Source organism: Homo sapiens, chromosome 3 (assembly GCF_000001405.40).
Source record: "Homo sapiens chromosome 3, GRCh38.p14 Primary Assembly".
In the NCBI taxonomy this organism is placed as follows: Eukaryota; Metazoa; Chordata; class Mammalia; order Primates; family Hominidae; genus Homo; species Homo sapiens.
Genome location: NC_000003.12, coordinates 14,354,914 through 14,373,142, shown reverse-complemented (window position 1 = coordinate 14,373,142; position 18,229 = coordinate 14,354,914). Strand labels below are relative to the sequence as shown.

Here is an 18,229-nt window from a genome sequence, read left to right as displayed (position 1 = left end):
GAGATGATGAGAGAGAGTGACAGAGAGGAACCCAGACAGAGAGTGGATACCCCACAGAGACAGCAGGCAGAGACAAGATGGAGTAGAAAAGAGAAGGAGAGAGAGGGGGCAGGGAGAGAGAGAGAGAGAAGCCTAGGAGTCAGATACAGTCAGGGACAAAAGTGGAGAGAACAGAATCAACTGCACACAGGTAGACACGGGGGTGGGGATACATAGATTGGAATGTGGGGGTGGGGAGCACCAGGGAGCCCAGCAGCCGCGTCCCCAGACAGCAGGCACAGGGCCCCAACGTGGGGCAGCTGGAGGCAGCAGCTGAAGCAGCCTCAGCCTACCGAGCACTCCTCCCTGCCCACCATGTCCGGCTTGGATCCAGTAGGACCCCTGGGGTGAGGAAAGGGTAATGGAGGGACAGTGTCAGCTAGGAACCACCCTACTTCCCCAGGTCTGAGAAGTAGGATTAGGAAAATGTTTCCAGAGCACCTGCTGTGTGTTGGGCTCTGCTGGGTCCCAGCTGTGCAGATCTGGGGGAGTCATTTTTCCCTCTGGATCTCAGTTCCACCATCTAAAATGGGGATGTTCAGAGATCCTGTCACACAATGGCTGAGTGCTAGGGTCCAGGGGCGGGGCTGCCTGGAGTGAATCCTAGCCCTGTCATGTATTAGGGTGTGGCCTCGGGCTGCTCACTTCACCATCCTGTGCCTCAGTTTCTCCATATATAAAGTGGGGGTAATCCCAGTCCTTCTCCTATGGTGTTGCTTTGAGGACTAGATGAATGAGTATACATGATGTCATTGCTTCCGAATGCTGGTTGTGCCCCAGGTCACAGAACAGTTGGGAAGAGAAAATGAATCCTGCTGGTAATATGCCTGGCTGCATGTCTAGAGCATTGGAACCATCCAATAAATTACATCATCCTTAATCTCCAGCAGGAACCTGTTTTGCAGATCAGAAAACTGAGGCTAAGAGAGGCAAGGCAACTTAGCCTAGACCAGGCAGCAAGTGAGTAGTGGGCAGTGATATAAACGCAGGCCTGGCTGATCCCAGGTCTCCAGCTCTGTCCAGGAGGGTGGCATGCCTGAGGCTTTGAAGTACAAATAAGATTTCAGCAGGTCATGGGGTGGGGCTGGCCCAAGAGGCTTCTGGGCTGCTGGCCAAACCGGAAGAGCATGAGGCACTTATGGGGAATCACTTGTCACCGGGCCTGGCCGGGACACCAGCTGAGGCAGTAGGGGAGTGGCTGAGGGCAGTAAGGACTCATCAGAGGCTTCGAGCAGGGGAGGAGCTGCTCAGATAGGGGGTCTGGGAGCTGTGCACTGGCCACTGTGGAGGCAGAATGAATGGGGGTGCTATGGAGAAGTGCTGGGCATCTCCCCAGGGAGGTCAGATCGGACAGTGCAAATGAGGTAAATTTTTTCCCTATGTAATAAGGCCAAATACAGTGCCAGAAGCCACCTCATGGAGGCAGGGTTTCCTCCCCGTTTCCTTCTCACCCAGTGGGCATAGCCACGGGAGTCTGGCCATGTGCCGGGTATGTGGCTTATAAAATCACCACCATAACCTCACGAGGAGCAGAGGTTACTGTTCCCATTTTATAGATGCAGAAACAGAGACACACAGGGTTAAGTGGCCTTCCCAAGGCCACATCATTGGTACTCCAGATCTGAGTGGCCTCTGCTCTCTCCCTCCTCACCCTAACCCACACTCCAGGTGGCAATTAATGGCCCCTGGGTTCCACATTGTGGGATGTTCAGAGGCCGGGAAAGATGAGCCGATAGTGGAAGGGCTTTCCCGGGAGGGTCCCAGCTGAGGAAGAGGCTGAGAGGTGGGAATGGGCAGGCTGGTGAAGGCACAGTGGCATCCCTCGGGGCCCTCAGTAAAGGTCTCAGTCAACAGGTGAACAATACCTGCGACACTAGAATGGTGAGTATGCATGATGACAGCAGCCCCACTTCTCACCATGGGTCGTGAGGTAAGAACAGCATTATGCCTATTCATGAATGACACGCAGGTATCATTGCCCATTTCACAGATGAGGAAACTGAGGCATGGGCTAGGGGCTGAGCTGGTCCCGGGGCCTAGGGCTTTGGGAGTCAGGGTGTGGGGTGATGCTGGTGGGAGGAGTGCTCAGGGCCTGAGAATTGCTCCGAGTAACAGGACAAAAGCTGAGAAACCTAATCATGTGTTTACCCAGCCTGGGGATTACAGCAGTGCTGCCGGGGGCTTGCCAGGGAGGTAGGCAGGTAGCAGCAGGCCTCCTGGGGCAGGGCAGGCAGAAGGGGTGGACTGGGCTGGCATTTCGCAGGCTGTGGTGTCTGCAAGTCACCAGGCTCGCTTGTGTCAGCTCACTTTGTAAAACGTCTTCACAGAAGTAGGGAACCCTGACTGTGCCCTAAGCCCGGGTGTAGGAACTTTGCACACATCAACCTTTACAATAGCCCTCAGGCAAGACAGGGGTCCTGCTGCTATCCTTACACTGTACAGGTGGGGAAAGTGAGGCAAGGAGACCCACCTGAGGGCATACAGCAATGAAGAGGCACAGCTGGCATTTGAACCTGGCTCACGTGGTCTCAGAGTCCTTGTGCTTAGCTCTCCTGCTACCTGATGCTATGGGCTGGGTCAGCTGATTTATTCACTTATTTATTTTGGCCACAGGGTCTTGCTCTGTCATCCAGGCTGGAGTACTTTGGTGCGATCATAGCTCACTGTAACCTTGACCTCCTGGGCTCAACGATCCTCCTGCTTTGGCCTCGTAAAGCACTGGGATTCCAGGTATGAGCCACTGCACCCAGCCTGTTCATTTATCTTTTTAGAGACAGGGTCTCACTCTATCGCCCCGGCTGAAGTGCAGTGCGCAGTCTTAGCTAATTGTAGTCTCAACTTCCTGGGCTCAAACCATCTTCCTGCCTCAGCCTCCCAAGTAGCTGGGACTGTAGGCACAAGACACCGTGCCCAGCTTAGGTCAGCATATTTAAAAAAGGAAACACCACATCATATCTGAGAAGAGGCTGCTATAAACAGAAGGTACCATGAAAACAAAGATAATAAAGACAGGACACAGTTCTCACATTTTCTGTAGATGCTGTTACCTGGGAGAGTTCAGAGCCAGAGACCTGCTTGCTGTTTGCTAAAAGGTCAGAACAGCAAGTGGCGGAGGGGAGCCGAGGTGAACTCCCGGGCCAGGTGGCTGGCCGGGACAGCATCTGCAGGGGATGAACTCTCTCCCAGGTGAGTCTGTTGTCTTTAGGGCTGCGCCAGGCTCTGAGTCTCCTGACTCGCTTAATCCTCACCACAGTGCTGAGAGTCCCCATCCAACAGGTGGCAGGAGGGAGGCTCGGCAGGGTTGGTCACTTGCCAGAGGTCCCAGTCAGGTGGGGCTGAGCTGAGGCTGACCAGGCTTCCTGGATTTCTTCTCAAGCTCCTGTGGGCACTTCAGGACCTGTCCATTCCACAAACATCTGCTGGGCAACATCCCTTTGTTCACTCCAGATGCCAGGCCAGTGTGGTTCCTGTTCTGGGTACCTGGAAGGAAGACAGGCCCCAAACCAGACCCCCTCCCATGAGAAGGCCCACTCAGATAACTCAGCCTGGGTCTAGGAAGGCTTCCTGGAGGAGGTGGAGCCCAGATGAGTCTGGCAGGAGGAGGAAGAGTTGGCCTGGCATTAAGGAGGCCTGAGCCTGAGCTTCACAGAGCACTGGGAGCAAGCATGGCCACCCCCAGGAGGTCACAGTCTGGTGGGGAAGCGGGGCTAGAAGGGCTGTGCACAGGAAAAAACACATAGCCAGTATGACCCAATTACCTTCCTTGGAAAGTGAGCCCCCCTCCAAGAAACTGGGAGGCCCTGGGGGACTCAAGCCCACTCCAAATCTTTTTTATTTTATTAAAATAAAAATTTAAAAATTTTAAAAATTAATTCAAATTAATTTAATTAAGTTGCTCTACCTGCTCATGGCAGGTACCAAAAAACAGATGCAGAGCTGAGAGGGCCTTTGTGCATGTCCCAAATGTAAACAACGGGGACATGGAGGTCCAGAGAGGGCAATGGATTTGCTCAAGGTCACACAGCAAAGCAGTGGCTGGCAGGGGCTTACACTCAGCTCCTCCTTCCTCTCTCCTCTAGTCTTCTTTGCCCCCTCATCCTTCAACTACCACCCCAAGGAGCTTGGCCCTCACTGTGCTTCCTACAGATTTCCTGGGTGCTTGCTCAAGTCCATGTCAATCTTGAGAACTCGGGGATGAATGCCCATAATGGTAATAATGGTTAACCTTCCTCAGCACTTACTGTGCTAACTGTTTCATGTGAGTTACCCCTGCCCCCAGTACTTGCAGAGCCTTATGAAGTGGATGCTATTACCAGCCCTTTTTTTACCGGGAAAGAGGGCCAGAGGGGTAATGTAACCGGCCTGAGATGGCACAGCAAGTAAGTGGCAGAGCTGGACCTGAGCTCATGCTGGCTGGCCTCTGGAGCCTGCCCGTGGAGCCTTCTAAGTCCCAGGCATTTAGTTACCTTCACAGTCCATACAGACACATCAACAGCCCACTCTAACTGCGTGGAGGATGCTCCCATGGAGACAGTGTACCCAGGTAAGAGGCCAGCCCCACCTCCTGGCTGCTGGAATCATCTCCAGGCATGGACAGCTTCGCGTTCCCAGTTGTACCTTTTCCTTAGCAAGTCTTCATGCTGAGCTGATGGGTGTGCTAGAGGAGAGAAGGCACTGGTGAGGACCTTGGCCGGCAGGCGGGCTGGCAGCCCCCAGGTGGGGTGGGGCCCCTCCGCAGCATTGGCTCCTGGCACAGGCGCTCATGCCCCTCTGCGCCACCCTGCCCCAGGATGGCACCGGGGCTGGAAGTTGCGGTTCTCAGCCTCCAGGCATGCTCTGCCCACAACCGCCTCTACCAGCCTGTTGGAATGTGGAGTCCTGGCATGGCCAGGAGGCCCAGGTGTGGTGGGTGAGGCCTCAGCAGAGTGAGGAGGGGGTCTCCCATGGGGAGCTGGGGCTGGCACTGGAATAAGTGATCACCGCATTTGAATCCTAGCTCTAAACGTCTTAGCTGGGGAGTTCTGTGTGGACTGCTAGAGCCCTGGTGTCATCTGTTAAGGATGCTGCTGCCAATCCCAGAGTTTGTCTCTCCTTGAAATGAGAGAATTGGAAAAGCAACTAGTTAGTGCCAAGCACATGGTAGATGCCCACAAATGATGGCGCGTATTCCTGTGTGAACCCATTTTGCCTCCTGGCCTCATTGGACATCCAATCCTGATTAGTGGGAGTGACACCTTGTAGGTCTGGGTTGAGGAGGATTCCAAGAACCAATCTGGTCTCAACGGGAGAAAGGTCTGTGTTAATTATGTCTGTCAGGCAGTGCGAGAGGACAGAGAAGTATGCGTGCCCTGGAGTCACCATTGTCCCCTACCCCCTCCTCTCCCCTCTCCTCCCCTCCCCGCATCACCTTCCCTCCTCTCTTCCCTCCCATCTCCTCCCCTCCCCTCTCTTGCTCCGGTTTCTGGTGGCTCTGCTTTCAAAATATATTCAGAAGCCAGTCACTCTTTACCATGGCCACTGCTACCACCTGGTGCAGCCAGCATCATCTCTCTCGCCTCCTCCCTTGCTCCTTCCTCCCTTACCCGTTCAGCCTCTCCTCTTAGGCCCCAGAGGGATCCTGTTAAACCCACATCTACCCTCGTCCCTGCCTTGGCGAGCAGCCCCGTGGCTGCCTTTCATTTGGGATGGAAGCCCAGGTCCCCACAGTAGACTGAGTGGTCTGACTCCCGACATTCCCACGCCTCTCCTTCCGCCTCTGTCCTGCTGGCTCACTCCGCCACACTGGCCCTCCCCCGCCCCCCAGCTCCCCTCAGGTGTGGAGTGCATGGCCCATGGCCTTTGCTCTTGCTTCCCCTGCGGGGAATGCTCTTCCCCCAAATGCCCACGGGGCTCACTCCCTCACTTCTTTGACCTCTGCACAAATGTCCTCGTGTGAGTGCAGGCTCCCTGCTATTTGAAATGGCAGCCTCACCCTCTGTGCCATCCTTACACCCACCTCATCCCTCTCCCTGTCCCATCCTTACTCACCCCCATTCCTACCCACCCCCATCCCTACGCCCGTCTCTTTATGATTCTCTGTAGCTCTCACCACTTCCTAACACTCTGTGCATTTTCTTTCTTTATTCGCTTACTATTTAATCCCCCTCAAGCTCTGCATGGGTGCTGAGGCTCTACGCTCCAGCCATCAGAATGGCTGGTCTTTCCCCAGGAGCCCCCTGATCCCTGGACCCTGGGCCCTTGCATATGCAGTTCCTCTATCAGGAAATCACCCTGTCTTTTCCATTCGGCTAATTCCTCAGTATCTTTTAGGTCTCTGCTTTGATGCCACCTCCCCAGCTCCTGTGTTTCTGGAACAGCCAACATGGGGGGCCTTTGAGGGCAGGGGCTGTGCACACCGAGTGCATTATTGTGTCCATGGTGCTGCCCAGGCCCTGATATACAGCAGATGCTCAATATGTGCTCAATGAAGGGTTTGCTGGCACCCAGAAGCAAAAGAGCTGTGCCTTCTGCTGCTGAATCCCTTTCTGCTGTCGTCTTGGGAGGGGAGTGCCGTTATTACTAACGATGTGTAGTAACTGTACAGCCACTGGTAGTTCCTTTCTGAGGCACTTTCATGCTGTTATTTCCTAGCTACGTAGTGAGACAAGCAGCTCACAGCCTGCTACTAGGAGTGGCTCAGAGAGGTCAGGAGTGTGTGTTCTAGGTCACACAGCTTCACCTTTCCTGGCCAAGGAGACAGAGCACGTTTCTCCTCCTGGAGGCCCCGGGGAGATCCACGTGGTTCCACCGAAGGCCTAAGGGTAAGGGTAGGGTTCAACACCCACAACTGTGGCAGCTGGATAGTGTGTCAGTGGCTATACCACGGGGGCTGAAGGATTCCTCACAATCTGGAAATCTGAATGATTTGGCTCCAACTGGCAAGAGGAAAAAGGAGGCAGAGCCTAGGGTTAAAAACAAGAAGAGAGGAAATTAGGGTTGGGTTCTGCCCACGCCAGCACCCTCACCCCCGCCCTACGATTCTGTTCCACAACCTCTGCACGGAATGTGCACACACCAGATCCCTTTGGAACATCTCCCCAGAATATTCCAGGCCTTTCCTGTGGTTGAGGGAATGGGTGCCAGGCATATCCTTTTCTCCGGATAATTTTTGGGGGACGTGACCCTTAGTGGGCCAGGCATACTTGGAAAAGTCCCTGGCCTTCCTTCCCCAAACCTCTTAGGAGTTATCTGTGGCCTATTTCACTTTTTCAGGCCCACCGAGGAATTTTCAAGATCACCAACACTTGGAGCTTTAAAATTCAAAACATGTTAAATGGTAAATGCTCCCATTACTGACAGAAATCTTCCCCAATGCTTCATGAACTTGCAGACAGGACTGACACAGCTAAGCTTTCCTGACTGATTCGGGGCCATGCTGTCTACCAAAGGGCTAGCTGTTAAGACAATGAGGATCAGGGACATTTGCCCTCGTACTGAATGTCCCCAGCCACAGTACTTACATAGTTCTTACATGTACCTTCCCCCTCGGTGACATTTTATATTTTCCAAAGATGGCCACAACAGCTCCCATCCCATTCTTCTTGTGGTGACACTCACACCCGTCTCTGAGAGGTGAGGCCACATATTCTCTTTTCTTGAATTTGGGTGGGCCTGTGACAATGGCAGGACAATGCTGAGTGGCTATGTCATAAAGGCAATACCCCTTCCATCCAATTCTCTTGGGATGCTCATGTTTAGAATCCAGCCACCATGTTGTGAGGAAGCCCACGTCACCTATGAAGACCTACACAGAAAAGACTCAAGGCCCCAGGCACTTGAGCTGAAGGATGAAAAAGAGTTAGTCAGCAGGGGAAATTGGGGAAAGGGTATCTGGTAGAAAGAAGGAACAGCTTGTGCAGAGGTTCAGAGGCAAGAGAGAATTTGGCATATTTGGGAAGCTGCAAGAGGTGCAGGGCAGGAAGAACGTATAGCGGAGCCCAGGGGTGATGGAGAGGTTGGCTGTGGCCAGGTCACAAAAGGCTTCCAGAGACTGATATGAGGGGAATGGGGAGCCATGGAGGGTGGTAGCCAGATGACTGCAGTGCTTTAAAACAACCTCTATGGCTCCAGCTGGGCAGAGAATCCACTGGAGGGGCTGACCCTGGAAGCAGGGCAAGGGGTGGGGTGGGGAGTGAGGGAATGAGCACCAGTGGGGGTCTAGATGAGCGCAGCGGCAGTGTGGATGGAGCATGAGAGCTTTAGAGGTGGGTGTGAGAGGTGCTGGCACCCAATGGGTCTCTTGGCCAGGGCTCAGGCTCGTTATATTAATTATTAAAGCCAATGTGTACTTTGGCCTGGGTGTAGAGAGAGAGTGCATAGGTATTTGTGTCATAGCACGGCCACTTGGGATCAATCACTGGCAACTGAACAATGAATGATTTGGGGTCAGAGCTGCAGGCCACAGGGGATGTGGATCCCAGAGTCTGCAGGACCTTGGGTGGCTCGCAGTTCCCCTCTTATTGCAATTAAGCTTCCATGACCGAATGCCTCCCGCATGCCTCAAAGATCGTCATGCCATTATCTCATTTAATTTTGGTGGCCTGTTTATGAGTATGAGCTAGGGGTCTATTTTACAGATGAGGAAACTGAGACTCAGAGAAGTTGGTAACCCGCCCAAGGCCACTCTGCTGGGAGGTAGCAGAACTAGAATTAGAACGGAGCATCTTTCGGAGGATGTGGAATCCACCAGCCTCAGGGAATGTGGACTGGTGTTTGGATTTGAGAGGAACTTTTAGAGGAAGGAAAACATTGTCCCTACAGGCAAGATGCAGGCTCAGAGACATTTCTTTGGAACGTCAAAATAAATGGGCCTGAGTCAAAGTCTGGATCAACCAAATTCCAAAGATTCTGTTTGAAGCAATGATCCCACTGCTAATAAGAGAAGAGAAACTGGGAAAGCCCCGGCCTCTGCTGAGCCCTAAGAGGAAGCGGGGGCCCAGGACACATGGGGAGGATGTGGTGAGTCTCCAGCCTAGACGATGGTCAGGGAGGTCAGAAGGGGCTCCTGGAGAAATTCTATCCCAAGACCTGCTGTCTCCTTGCTGACCGTTGGAGCTTTCCAGAAATTCAGAGTCTGCATTTGGCTGAGGTCTGGGTCTTTAACGATTAAATTGGCACTAGGGTGTGGGGACCCAGGGTAGCTGCTTACCAAGGCACAGATGGTCACTCCATCCTTGAGCGGGGCAAGGTTTAGAGGTTCATGATTGCATCTCTCTCATTTGCACATATTTTCCCTGGACATGGCCCCCTGTCCCCCGTGACTTGCCCTGCTAAGGGACTTGATGCTGCCTCTGGGCCCCCAAACCTACCATCTGCTTCCTCAGAGTCCAGAGGACCAAGTCTCAGGTCCCCAGGGCTGCTGTGATCTTTGCTAAACACCACCTGCTTCTCCAGCTGTGCCTCCATGACCCTGCTCATCACCTTCACCCCTCACTGCAAGGAGGCCGGGGTCGAAGAAGCCTGAGGCTGAGTGCTTCAAAGCTGTGTGACCTTGGGCAGGTGTTTCCATGTCTCTGTGCCTGGGCATCCTCACCTCCAGCACAGGAGGGTCACGGTGTAAGGCAGCAGAGTGTGTTAGAGCAGTGGGTGCTGACCTTGGATTTGGCTGGGGTTGGGGTTTGTACTAATTAACTGGCACCAAGGTAGGGGTAGGGGCTTTTTCAGTTCACAAGACACAGATGGTCCCTCCATCCTTGGGGAAGGGCAAGGTTTAGAGCTCTGTGGATTATCTCTTTCTGATTGGATGTGTCTCCCCTGGATATGGTGTCTCTGTCTCCTGGACCTGACCTGCCAATCTGGCTGCTGGGTGCAATCTCCTGGGGAGCAGCTCAGGATCAGCCCCTCTGGGACTCCACCTAGCCATCAGGACTGCTCAAAGCTCCCCTGTTGATTCCAGTGTGTAGCCAGTGCTGAGACCGGTGTTTCAGATCACTGCCTTTGGCATCAGACTCACATAAGTTCAAATCGTGACTCTGCTTCCATGCTGTGTGACGTTGGGCTTGGTTGGCAACCTCTCTGAGCCTCAGTGTCCCCCTCCCTCAACTGGGAATGATACTTTCTCATCACTGGGCTAAAGGGACTAAGTCACATAATTTGGGTGCATCACCTATACTTAGAGCCCAGAAAATGCAGTAACTAAAATAATCATGCTCACAGCAATACTCACCTTGCCAAGTGGAAGAAAACACTTGATTTGAGACTTAAAAGAAGCTCATCAGGCCGGGCGCAGTGGCTCACGCCTGTAATCCCAAAATTTGGGACGCTGAGGCGGGTGGATCACGAGGTCAGGAAATCGAGACCATCCTGGCTAATACGGTGAAACCCCGTCTCTACTAAAAATACAAAAATTTAGCCGGGCGTGGCGGTGGGCTCCTGTAGTCCCAGCTACTCAGGAGGCTGAGGCGGGAGAATGGCGTGAACCCAGGAGGCGGAGCTTGCAGTGAGCGGAGATCATGCCACTACACTCCAGCCTGGGCAACAGAGCGAGATTCCATCTCAAAATAAGTAAATTAATTAAATAAAATAAAATAACAAATAAATAAATAAAAGAAGCTCATTAAAAAGGCGCTTCTAGAGCAAGCTCAGAGGCTGCAGCCGTTGAGTTGAAATCCTCTCTCAGCAGGACTTGCTTGATATTTTCCCCCTCCACGGAAGGCTCTGAAATGAGTGCCATTCATGCTGACATGGGTGGTTAATTCCATATCTGTGTGGGGTTTCTACTTGGAGAAACAGCGGGGCCTGCAGTGTTTGACCCACTGATGTTTCTGCAGAGAGGGGCCTTGGCTCTGACAGCTAATCAGAGCCCCCCTGCTTCTGCACAGGGCCCCTACAGCGCTCTCCCTGGGCTGCAGGAGGGAAGGTGAGAGGAGATGGAGTCGGATTCACCCTGCTCAAGTGCACACCGTGTGTTAGGCATTTTATGTTCACGAGCGTGTGTCCGGCACTTCCTACTTGCCACATCCTGTTGTAAGCATTTTACCTGCATGTCCTCATTTCACTCTCAACCCCATGAGACTGGCACTACTATCCTCCATTTTACAGATGGGGAAACTGAGGCCCAGAGCAGTCACGTAACTTGCCCAAAGCCACACAGCTGGTCAATGGCAGAGTCAGGATTTGAACCCAGGCCAGCTGGCTTCAGGGACCATGCTCTCAAGTGCTCTGCTGGGCTATGTCTGTTACTGAATTTGCTTTTCAGGCTGCACGCTCAGGACAGTTGCCAACGGTCTACAGAAAAGGAAACTGAGGTTCAGGCAGCTGAAGCCCCAGGGCCACCCAGCTGGCCAGAGACAGAGACAGGAGTTGGCCGGGGCTGCCTGGCTTCAAAACCTATCTTTGATCATCTGTGCTGGGGCGTGAGCATCGAGTTGTTCATGCATTCACTCGCTGTAATCAATAGTTATGGAGTATCTACTGTATACCGGGCCCTGTTCTGGGTCCTGAGAAGGCAGAGACGATACAAGCCCTCTGCCCCCAAGGCCTTCCCAGGTGATGGGACACTGGGAAGTGTCTACCCCAGGGTCTGGAGGAGAGACTGATTCTGTCTGCAGTCGTCTGGAGGGCAACCATGAGGAGGTGATTTTCAGTTGGCTATCAAGGGATCTGTAGGAGTTCAACAGGAATCACCAAGGAGTGGAGAGGAAGAAATTGACTGTATGGGGGAGTGGGCTTACTACAGTTCTGGCAGGAGCCAGGGCCTTGAGCAGGGCCGGGGTTGGAGACATGCTGCCTCTGACCAGGGCCCTGGGTGGGGAATGTGACTTACCTCAGAAATCCTGACCACAGGTGGTCAAGGCTGTGAACTCCACCAACGTGGATACAGTAGAGAGAAATGGCAGTGGAATCGGAGTCCATGATGCCAGCTCCACTGCTCCCCAGGCAGCTGGGCAAATCACTTCTCATCCTTTTAAGCCTCAGTTTCCTCTTCTGTAAACGAGGACCCTAATATCCACATCTATCAGTCTCACGGCTAGCTGATGACCTGACTCTGCCTTTTCCTCTCATCCTGTCCCACCCTCTGCACCCCGCTTTGGCTGTCCCTGCTTCAGCCTACTCCCCAGCCTTCTGGTGCCCATGCATTTGCCTGTCCACTCAATTGGCCACTGATGTCCACTGGAGGGAAATTCCTGGAACACATTTCTAACCCTGGCACTCCCCTGTTCAACTTCCACGGCCCCCTATTGCTCCAAGACCACAGATTCTTTGTGCTCTGGGCCTTCTGCAAGCTGGCCATACCTGTCCTCTCTCACCCCGACCCTTGCTGGGCAGGAGACTCACGCTCCAGCCACAGAGCACACACGCCTTCTCCAGGGAGGCCACACCGTTGTCATGCCTCTGGGCCACAAGACAGTACATGCTGTCTCCCTGCCTGGGATGCTCATCTCCCAGGGTCTGGTGAAACCTCCACAAGCCAGATTAGCATCCATGGGGCTGAGACCTGGGGGGTCCAGAAGGATGAGGAGAGAAGAGGTGTTGGGGTGTTGCCAACACCTTCTGCTACAAACAACGTTCTCATCCAAGCTGGCAGCCAGACCCCAGGGCCTGGGGGGTGGGCACCAGGCCCCCAGGAGGAGGCAAGGGGACCAGGCAGACCCCACAGCATGGTTTCTTAAGCTGCCAGGACTCTGGAATGTGCAGTCGCATCCCGTCTCGTCTGCGGTCAGGGAAATATTTGGCTGAAAACAAACACTCTCATTCCTGATTAGGGCAACGTCAAGGACCCTCTGACCCAAGCGAGAGGTCTCACCCTGAGGGTGAGCCTGGTCACATCCGTTCTCCAGGAGGCCCACCTGGACTGTGCTGTGTGACGCCTGGTTACTCACTCCCCCTCTCTGTGCTCCTGTGTCTGTGCTCAGGGGAGAGACAGGATCCCACAGAGCAGTCCCGCACATGTGAGCACTTTTTCTTCAGGTTCTGTTTGGGTGCTGTTTTCAAGGGGCTGGAAACGTCTGAGGAGGAACCCCTGGAAGGCAACAGATCCCCCAGGCAGGCCTTGACACTTCCTGGAGCCGACCTCAGTGGCAGGTGGCTAGGAATGGTTTTTCCCAGGAGAGGTGGGGCTCCTGGAAACTCGGGTGTGCAGATTTGGTTGGGACCAAGACGTATAGATCTCCTGTCTCCCTGTCTGTCCCCTTCATACTATACCTCCGAGGCTGGGGTGCTCACTTCCTGTCCAAGTAGCCCATTGTTCTGTTGGGTGTCAATTTGTCTTCACCCCACCTGGAACTGGCTTCCCCTTAATTCCCCCCTTTCCTGCCACCACAGGCCTTAGGGCCCTGACCCTCCGCTTCCTCGCCCGGAGACAGCCCTGCAGAGGCCTGAGTATGCAGTGTGCCCCTGCTGCCACCCTGTTCTTGAAGGTTCTGTGGTTTTCCACACTGGCCAGGAGCATCTTCAGGCTGGCATCTCAGGCTGAGCCAAACTGGAAAGTGAGGAAAGTCGGCAGGGGGCATGCAAGGCAGGAAAGAAGTGTGTTTGAAGGAGCAGTTTAAGCCCAACAGACATGGTTCTAATCCCAGCAGTACTACTTTTGGGCTGCGTTGCTCTGGGCAAGAGACTCAAATTTCCTAAGCCTCAGTTTACTTATCTGTAAGATGGGAACAATGAAAGCATCTAGTTCGTGAGGCTCAAATAAGAGGAGCTGTGGGAGACTTTTCTGTGGCTCCAACATATGATGCTCCTCATGCCCCTGCCTCAACTTCCTTACCCCAGTTCTGCCCTTGAACTAGCACTCAGCCCTATGGGATGACCCCTTCCTCCCATCACGCTGTATCCTTCCCAGCCACTGTGCCTTTCTATCTGCTGTGTTCTCTGCCTGGCCGGCTCTTCCTTCTTCTTAGCCTGGCCCCCTCCAATGCACCATTTGAGAAGGGCACCATTCTCTTCCTTTCCTTTCTTGGGCAGAATGCATCTCCCCGCTCCCGGTCACCCACAGTCTCCATGCTGGAGTGGTTTCGAGGAGGGAAAACTGGAATACGGAGCTTGATGCTAGCCCTGTGCCTTTTGGTTGCAGGACTCTGAATGAGACCATTTTGCTCCCGAGCCTCAGTTTGGCTCATCTGAGAAATGCGGACAAGAACCAAGCTCCTGCCCAGTGCTCTCACACATTCTGTGACCCACAGAGGTGATCCTGGCACACAAGTGTAGCTTTGCCATATGTGCATTTCCTGGAAAAGCAAAGCAAAGTGGGTCTAACCCTCAGGGCCCAAGCAGTGAGGTTATGTAAGTTCCGAAACTTATTTTTCCCCGTAATTATGACAGACTCCTGGAGCCCTGGGTGAACGGGCCCTGGACCCAGCCCTTGCTTCTGCGCTTGTTGGGACATAGACCAGAATTAATGTAATTATCAGCTCGGGCCTCCTTCCAGGTAGGCCCTGCCAGGGCGCCTCCCTCTGGATTTCATTAAGTCTCCTGTCAACATTGTCCGCTCAGCGCTGTTGGTTTCCGAGTCAGCTTGCGGAGCCGCAGGAGGAACGGGCGCCAGCCCCAGCCCCGCGTGATGGATTTTGTTTACTCTCTTCTTCCCACAGATTCCTCCTTTAATAACCCTGGAGCCAGGAGGCAGGGAGGCGGGAGGCAGGGTCTCGGCGGAGGCGCTGAGGCAGCTCTCCTGCAGGGCTGCAAGGGCCGTGTGAGCAGCACTAGGAGGGCACTCTCTAGAAAGAAGCTACGTCTTAAGGAATAGAGGAAAATCTAGTTGATTCCAGGGAATCAACTTTTGGGAGGGAGCTTAGTAGTTCTGGAAGCTCTGATTAGGCTGAGGCTTGATCCTGGTCACACACCGCACCCTAGTCCTGGCCACAGACTTAGGCCTGATCGTGGTCCTAGAGCCCTGACCCTAACCATAGACTAATCCACCATCCTAGCTCATGGGATGAATGCAAACCTGGCCCCTGTCTGAGCTCAAACATTAACCAAGGCTTGGCCGGGCATGGTGGCTCACGCCTGTAATCCCAGTACTTTGGGAGGCTGAGGTGGACAGATCACCTGAAGTCAGGAGTTTGAGACCAGCCTGTCCAACATGGTGAAACACCGTCTCTACTAAACATACACAAAATTAGCCAGGTATGGTGGTGTGCACCTGTAGTCCCAGCTACTCGGGAGGCTGAGGTGGGAGGATTGGTTTGCTTGAACCCAGGAGGCGGAGGTTGCAGTAAGCCAAGACCGCACCACTGCACTCCAGCCTTGGTGACAGAGCGAGACCCCATCTCAAAAATAAATAAATAATAAATAAATAAATTAATTAACTTAACCCAGGCTGAATCCTAACCCAAGTTATAGACTGAGTCCTGAGCCCTAACTGAATCCCTGATCCTGACTCCAGACAGCCCTGACTGTGGTCATAGACTAAGCTCTAACTCCAGTCCCAAGCTGAGCCCTGGTCCCGGATGCTGCCAGACCACACACCAAGTTCTCAGATTCTATTTTCACAAGGCCTCCCTTTTCAAAGTATAAGCCTGTCTCCTGAAGAAGAACCAAGTCAGCCTGTTAGTGCTCATTCCTTGGTCAAGAAAGAGATGCTCTTGAAGGAATGGATCATGGAACAGCTTAGCCTTGAGGGGTAGGAGTCAGAGAGAAGCAGAGACAGTTACTTCCAAACATGAGAAGCTGAGCTGGACAAGTAGCCCACCAGAGAAATAGAAAAGTGGAGAAGAGGAAATATGGTATTGGGGGAAAGAGCAGCAGACTGCTCTACTAAGGACAGTAGCTGGAAGTTTTTTAATATGCCCTATTGAGAGTCATTCATTCATTCAGCAAACACTGAGCACCAAGCACTGAGCACCACCAATGAGCCTAGTGTTCGTCCATTCCACTGTGCATTCAGTAAGCATGTATTATATGCTATGGAACCCACATTCTGTTTAGTGGGGGGTGGAAGACTTCTCAGTCAGCGTCTCCAGAGTTATAAATTACCTTCCTCCCTCTCCTCCCTTACACCACCACACCTACACTGTGGATTCCTATGGCACTAAGAAATGAGTCTTAGAGTCAGGCAGACGGAGCAAGTCACCTTTCCTCTTGAACCCTCAGTTTCCCCATTTTTTTTTTTTTTTTTGAGACGGAGTCTCGCTCTGTCCCCCAGGCTGGAGTGCAGTGGCGCGATCTCGGCTCACTGCAAGCTCCGCCTCCCAGGTTCATGCCGTTCTCCTGCTTCAGCCTCCCGAGTAGCTGGGACTACAGGTGCCCGCCACCACGCCTGGCTAATTATTTGTATTTTTAGTAGAGACGGGGTTTCACTGTGTTAGCCAGGATGTTCTCGATCTCCTGACCTCATGATCCGCCCGCCTCGGCCTCCCAAAGTGCTGGGATTACAGGCGTGAGCCACCACGCCCGGCCAGTTTCTCCTTTTACTAGATGGGCAGTTGTGCAGTGTGAAGGAGATAACAGTTAAGAATACACTTAATGCAATATGAGGCATACAGTTGGAGCTTAATAAGTGTCCCTTCCTGGACTGCTGGGGTTGTTGGGAGGATGCAGTCATTAATGCTACACTTGGCAACAGTGATTGCCCAGTGGAAGGCCAACGACTGCTGTCTGGATGGCTGGGCCTCAGTTTCCCCATCTGTAAATTGTGGGGTTAGACTCGATGGTCCGTCTGTTCCAGCCACCCCTGGATGCCCTGTAGCTGGATTTCAGAGGAAAAGGTGATGGCAACACTCAGTCCCCAGAGCCCCTGAACTTAGCTGTGGGCTGAGCTGCCCCGGAAGTCAATCTGTGACAGAACAGAGTCCAGGGCGGTTATAAACCTAGCCCAGTGCATTCTCCCCCCAGCACTCACAGCCAGGGTTGGACAAGAGCTGACCAGCCCAGAAGTCATCAAGGCCACACTGGCCTTGACCCAGGTTCAGCAGGTAAGAGTATGGCCTCAGAAGGTCACCAACCCTCCCCTGCTCTAGGTCACAGTTTTCCCATGCCTCAAGTAGGGCAGTAGAAGGAACACAGTCTTTGAGGCGCTGATAGGTTTCAGTGTGAATCTTGACCCACCCCACACATGCTGGATGACCTCAGCTAACTTACTTAGTCTCTCTTAGCCTTAGTCTTCCCACCTGGAAAATGGGATGATAAGATCTCAATTTTAGGACTATGATTGAGAAGTGGAGGGGATGGTGACAACAGGCTCAGGCAGTGCCAGGTATACAGCAGGTGCACTATAGCTACAGGCAGGTGTGATCACTACTGGGCTTGAGCAGGGGTGTACACAGTGTTTCATGGCAGTGTCCAGGGTGGCTGGAGTCAGGAGAAGGACCAGACAGGATTTGGGGCCCCACTTTCTTTCAAGGGCAGAAGCCTTTTGATATTTTTTAATCTAATAGATTACTTTGTAAGAATTCTTTTGAAGAAAGAGGAAGGAGGCTAAAAAATATTGCCATGAAAAATGTTTAAGACTACTGGTTATATGAATTGCCAGGGCTGGCCAGGCACAGTGGCTCACACCTATAATCCCAGCACTTTGGGAGGCCGAGGCAGGTGGATTGCTGGAGCCCAGAAGTTTGAGACCAGCCTGGGCAACATAGTGAGCCCTCATCTCTACAAAAAATAAATTAAAAAATTAGCTGGGCATGGTGATATGTACTTGTGGTCCCAGCTACTGGGGAGGCTCAGGTGGGAGGATCAATTGAGCCCAGAAGGTTGAGGTGACTGTGAGCCATGGTCATACCACTGCACTCCAGCCTGGGCAATAGAGTGAGACCCTGTCTCAAGTAAATCAATCAATCAATCAATCAATCAATAGATAAATAAATAAAATGAATTCCCAGGGCTGAAACACTTACTGATTAAGGGCCTATTTCATGTGTGGCCCTGGGAAGGCTCTTGGGAGCCAATAAAAGGCTCTCTCCAAAATTTTTACTTTACTCATAGCCCTCGTGGGTGTCCAGGGGTCGTGCAGACTGGGGGTCCTTTCAGTCCATGGCAGTGAATTTCCCCCACGGTGCCCACTGATGATGGAAGAATACCAGTCGCTGTGTGCCTCACGATGTGCTGGTGCCCTGACCTCTGCAGAACATCTGATGGGCAAACAAGAGGGTAATCAGACCGGCAGGCATCTATTTCACAGATGGGGAAACTGAGGTAGGGAGTGGCAATGTGACCTTCCAAAGGTCACATAGTGACTAAAAGGTGGAGCTGAGACTCACAGGCAGAGCTTGGTAGC

General features: G+C 53.0%; 2 annotated features.

Moving 5' to 3' along the window:
* Window positions 1,099-1,338: an enhancer, noted in NCBI's record as "active region_19504". NCBI's record gives its function as "activates an Ori minimal core promoter by ATAC-STARR-seq in GM12878 lymphoblastoid cells {active_cell/tissue: GM12878}" and the evidence as "EXISTENCE:reporter gene assay evidence [ECO:0000049][PMID:35858748]".
* Window positions 5,246-5,764: an enhancer, noted in NCBI's record as "H3K4me1 hESC enhancer chr3:14408879-14409397 (GRCh37/hg19 assembly coordinates)". NCBI's record gives its function as "activates a minimal SCP1, AML or CMV promoter by ChIP-STARR-seq in naive H9 embryonic stem cells {active_cell/tissue: H9 hESC(naive)}" and the evidence as "EXISTENCE:reporter gene assay evidence [ECO:0000049][PMID:30033119]".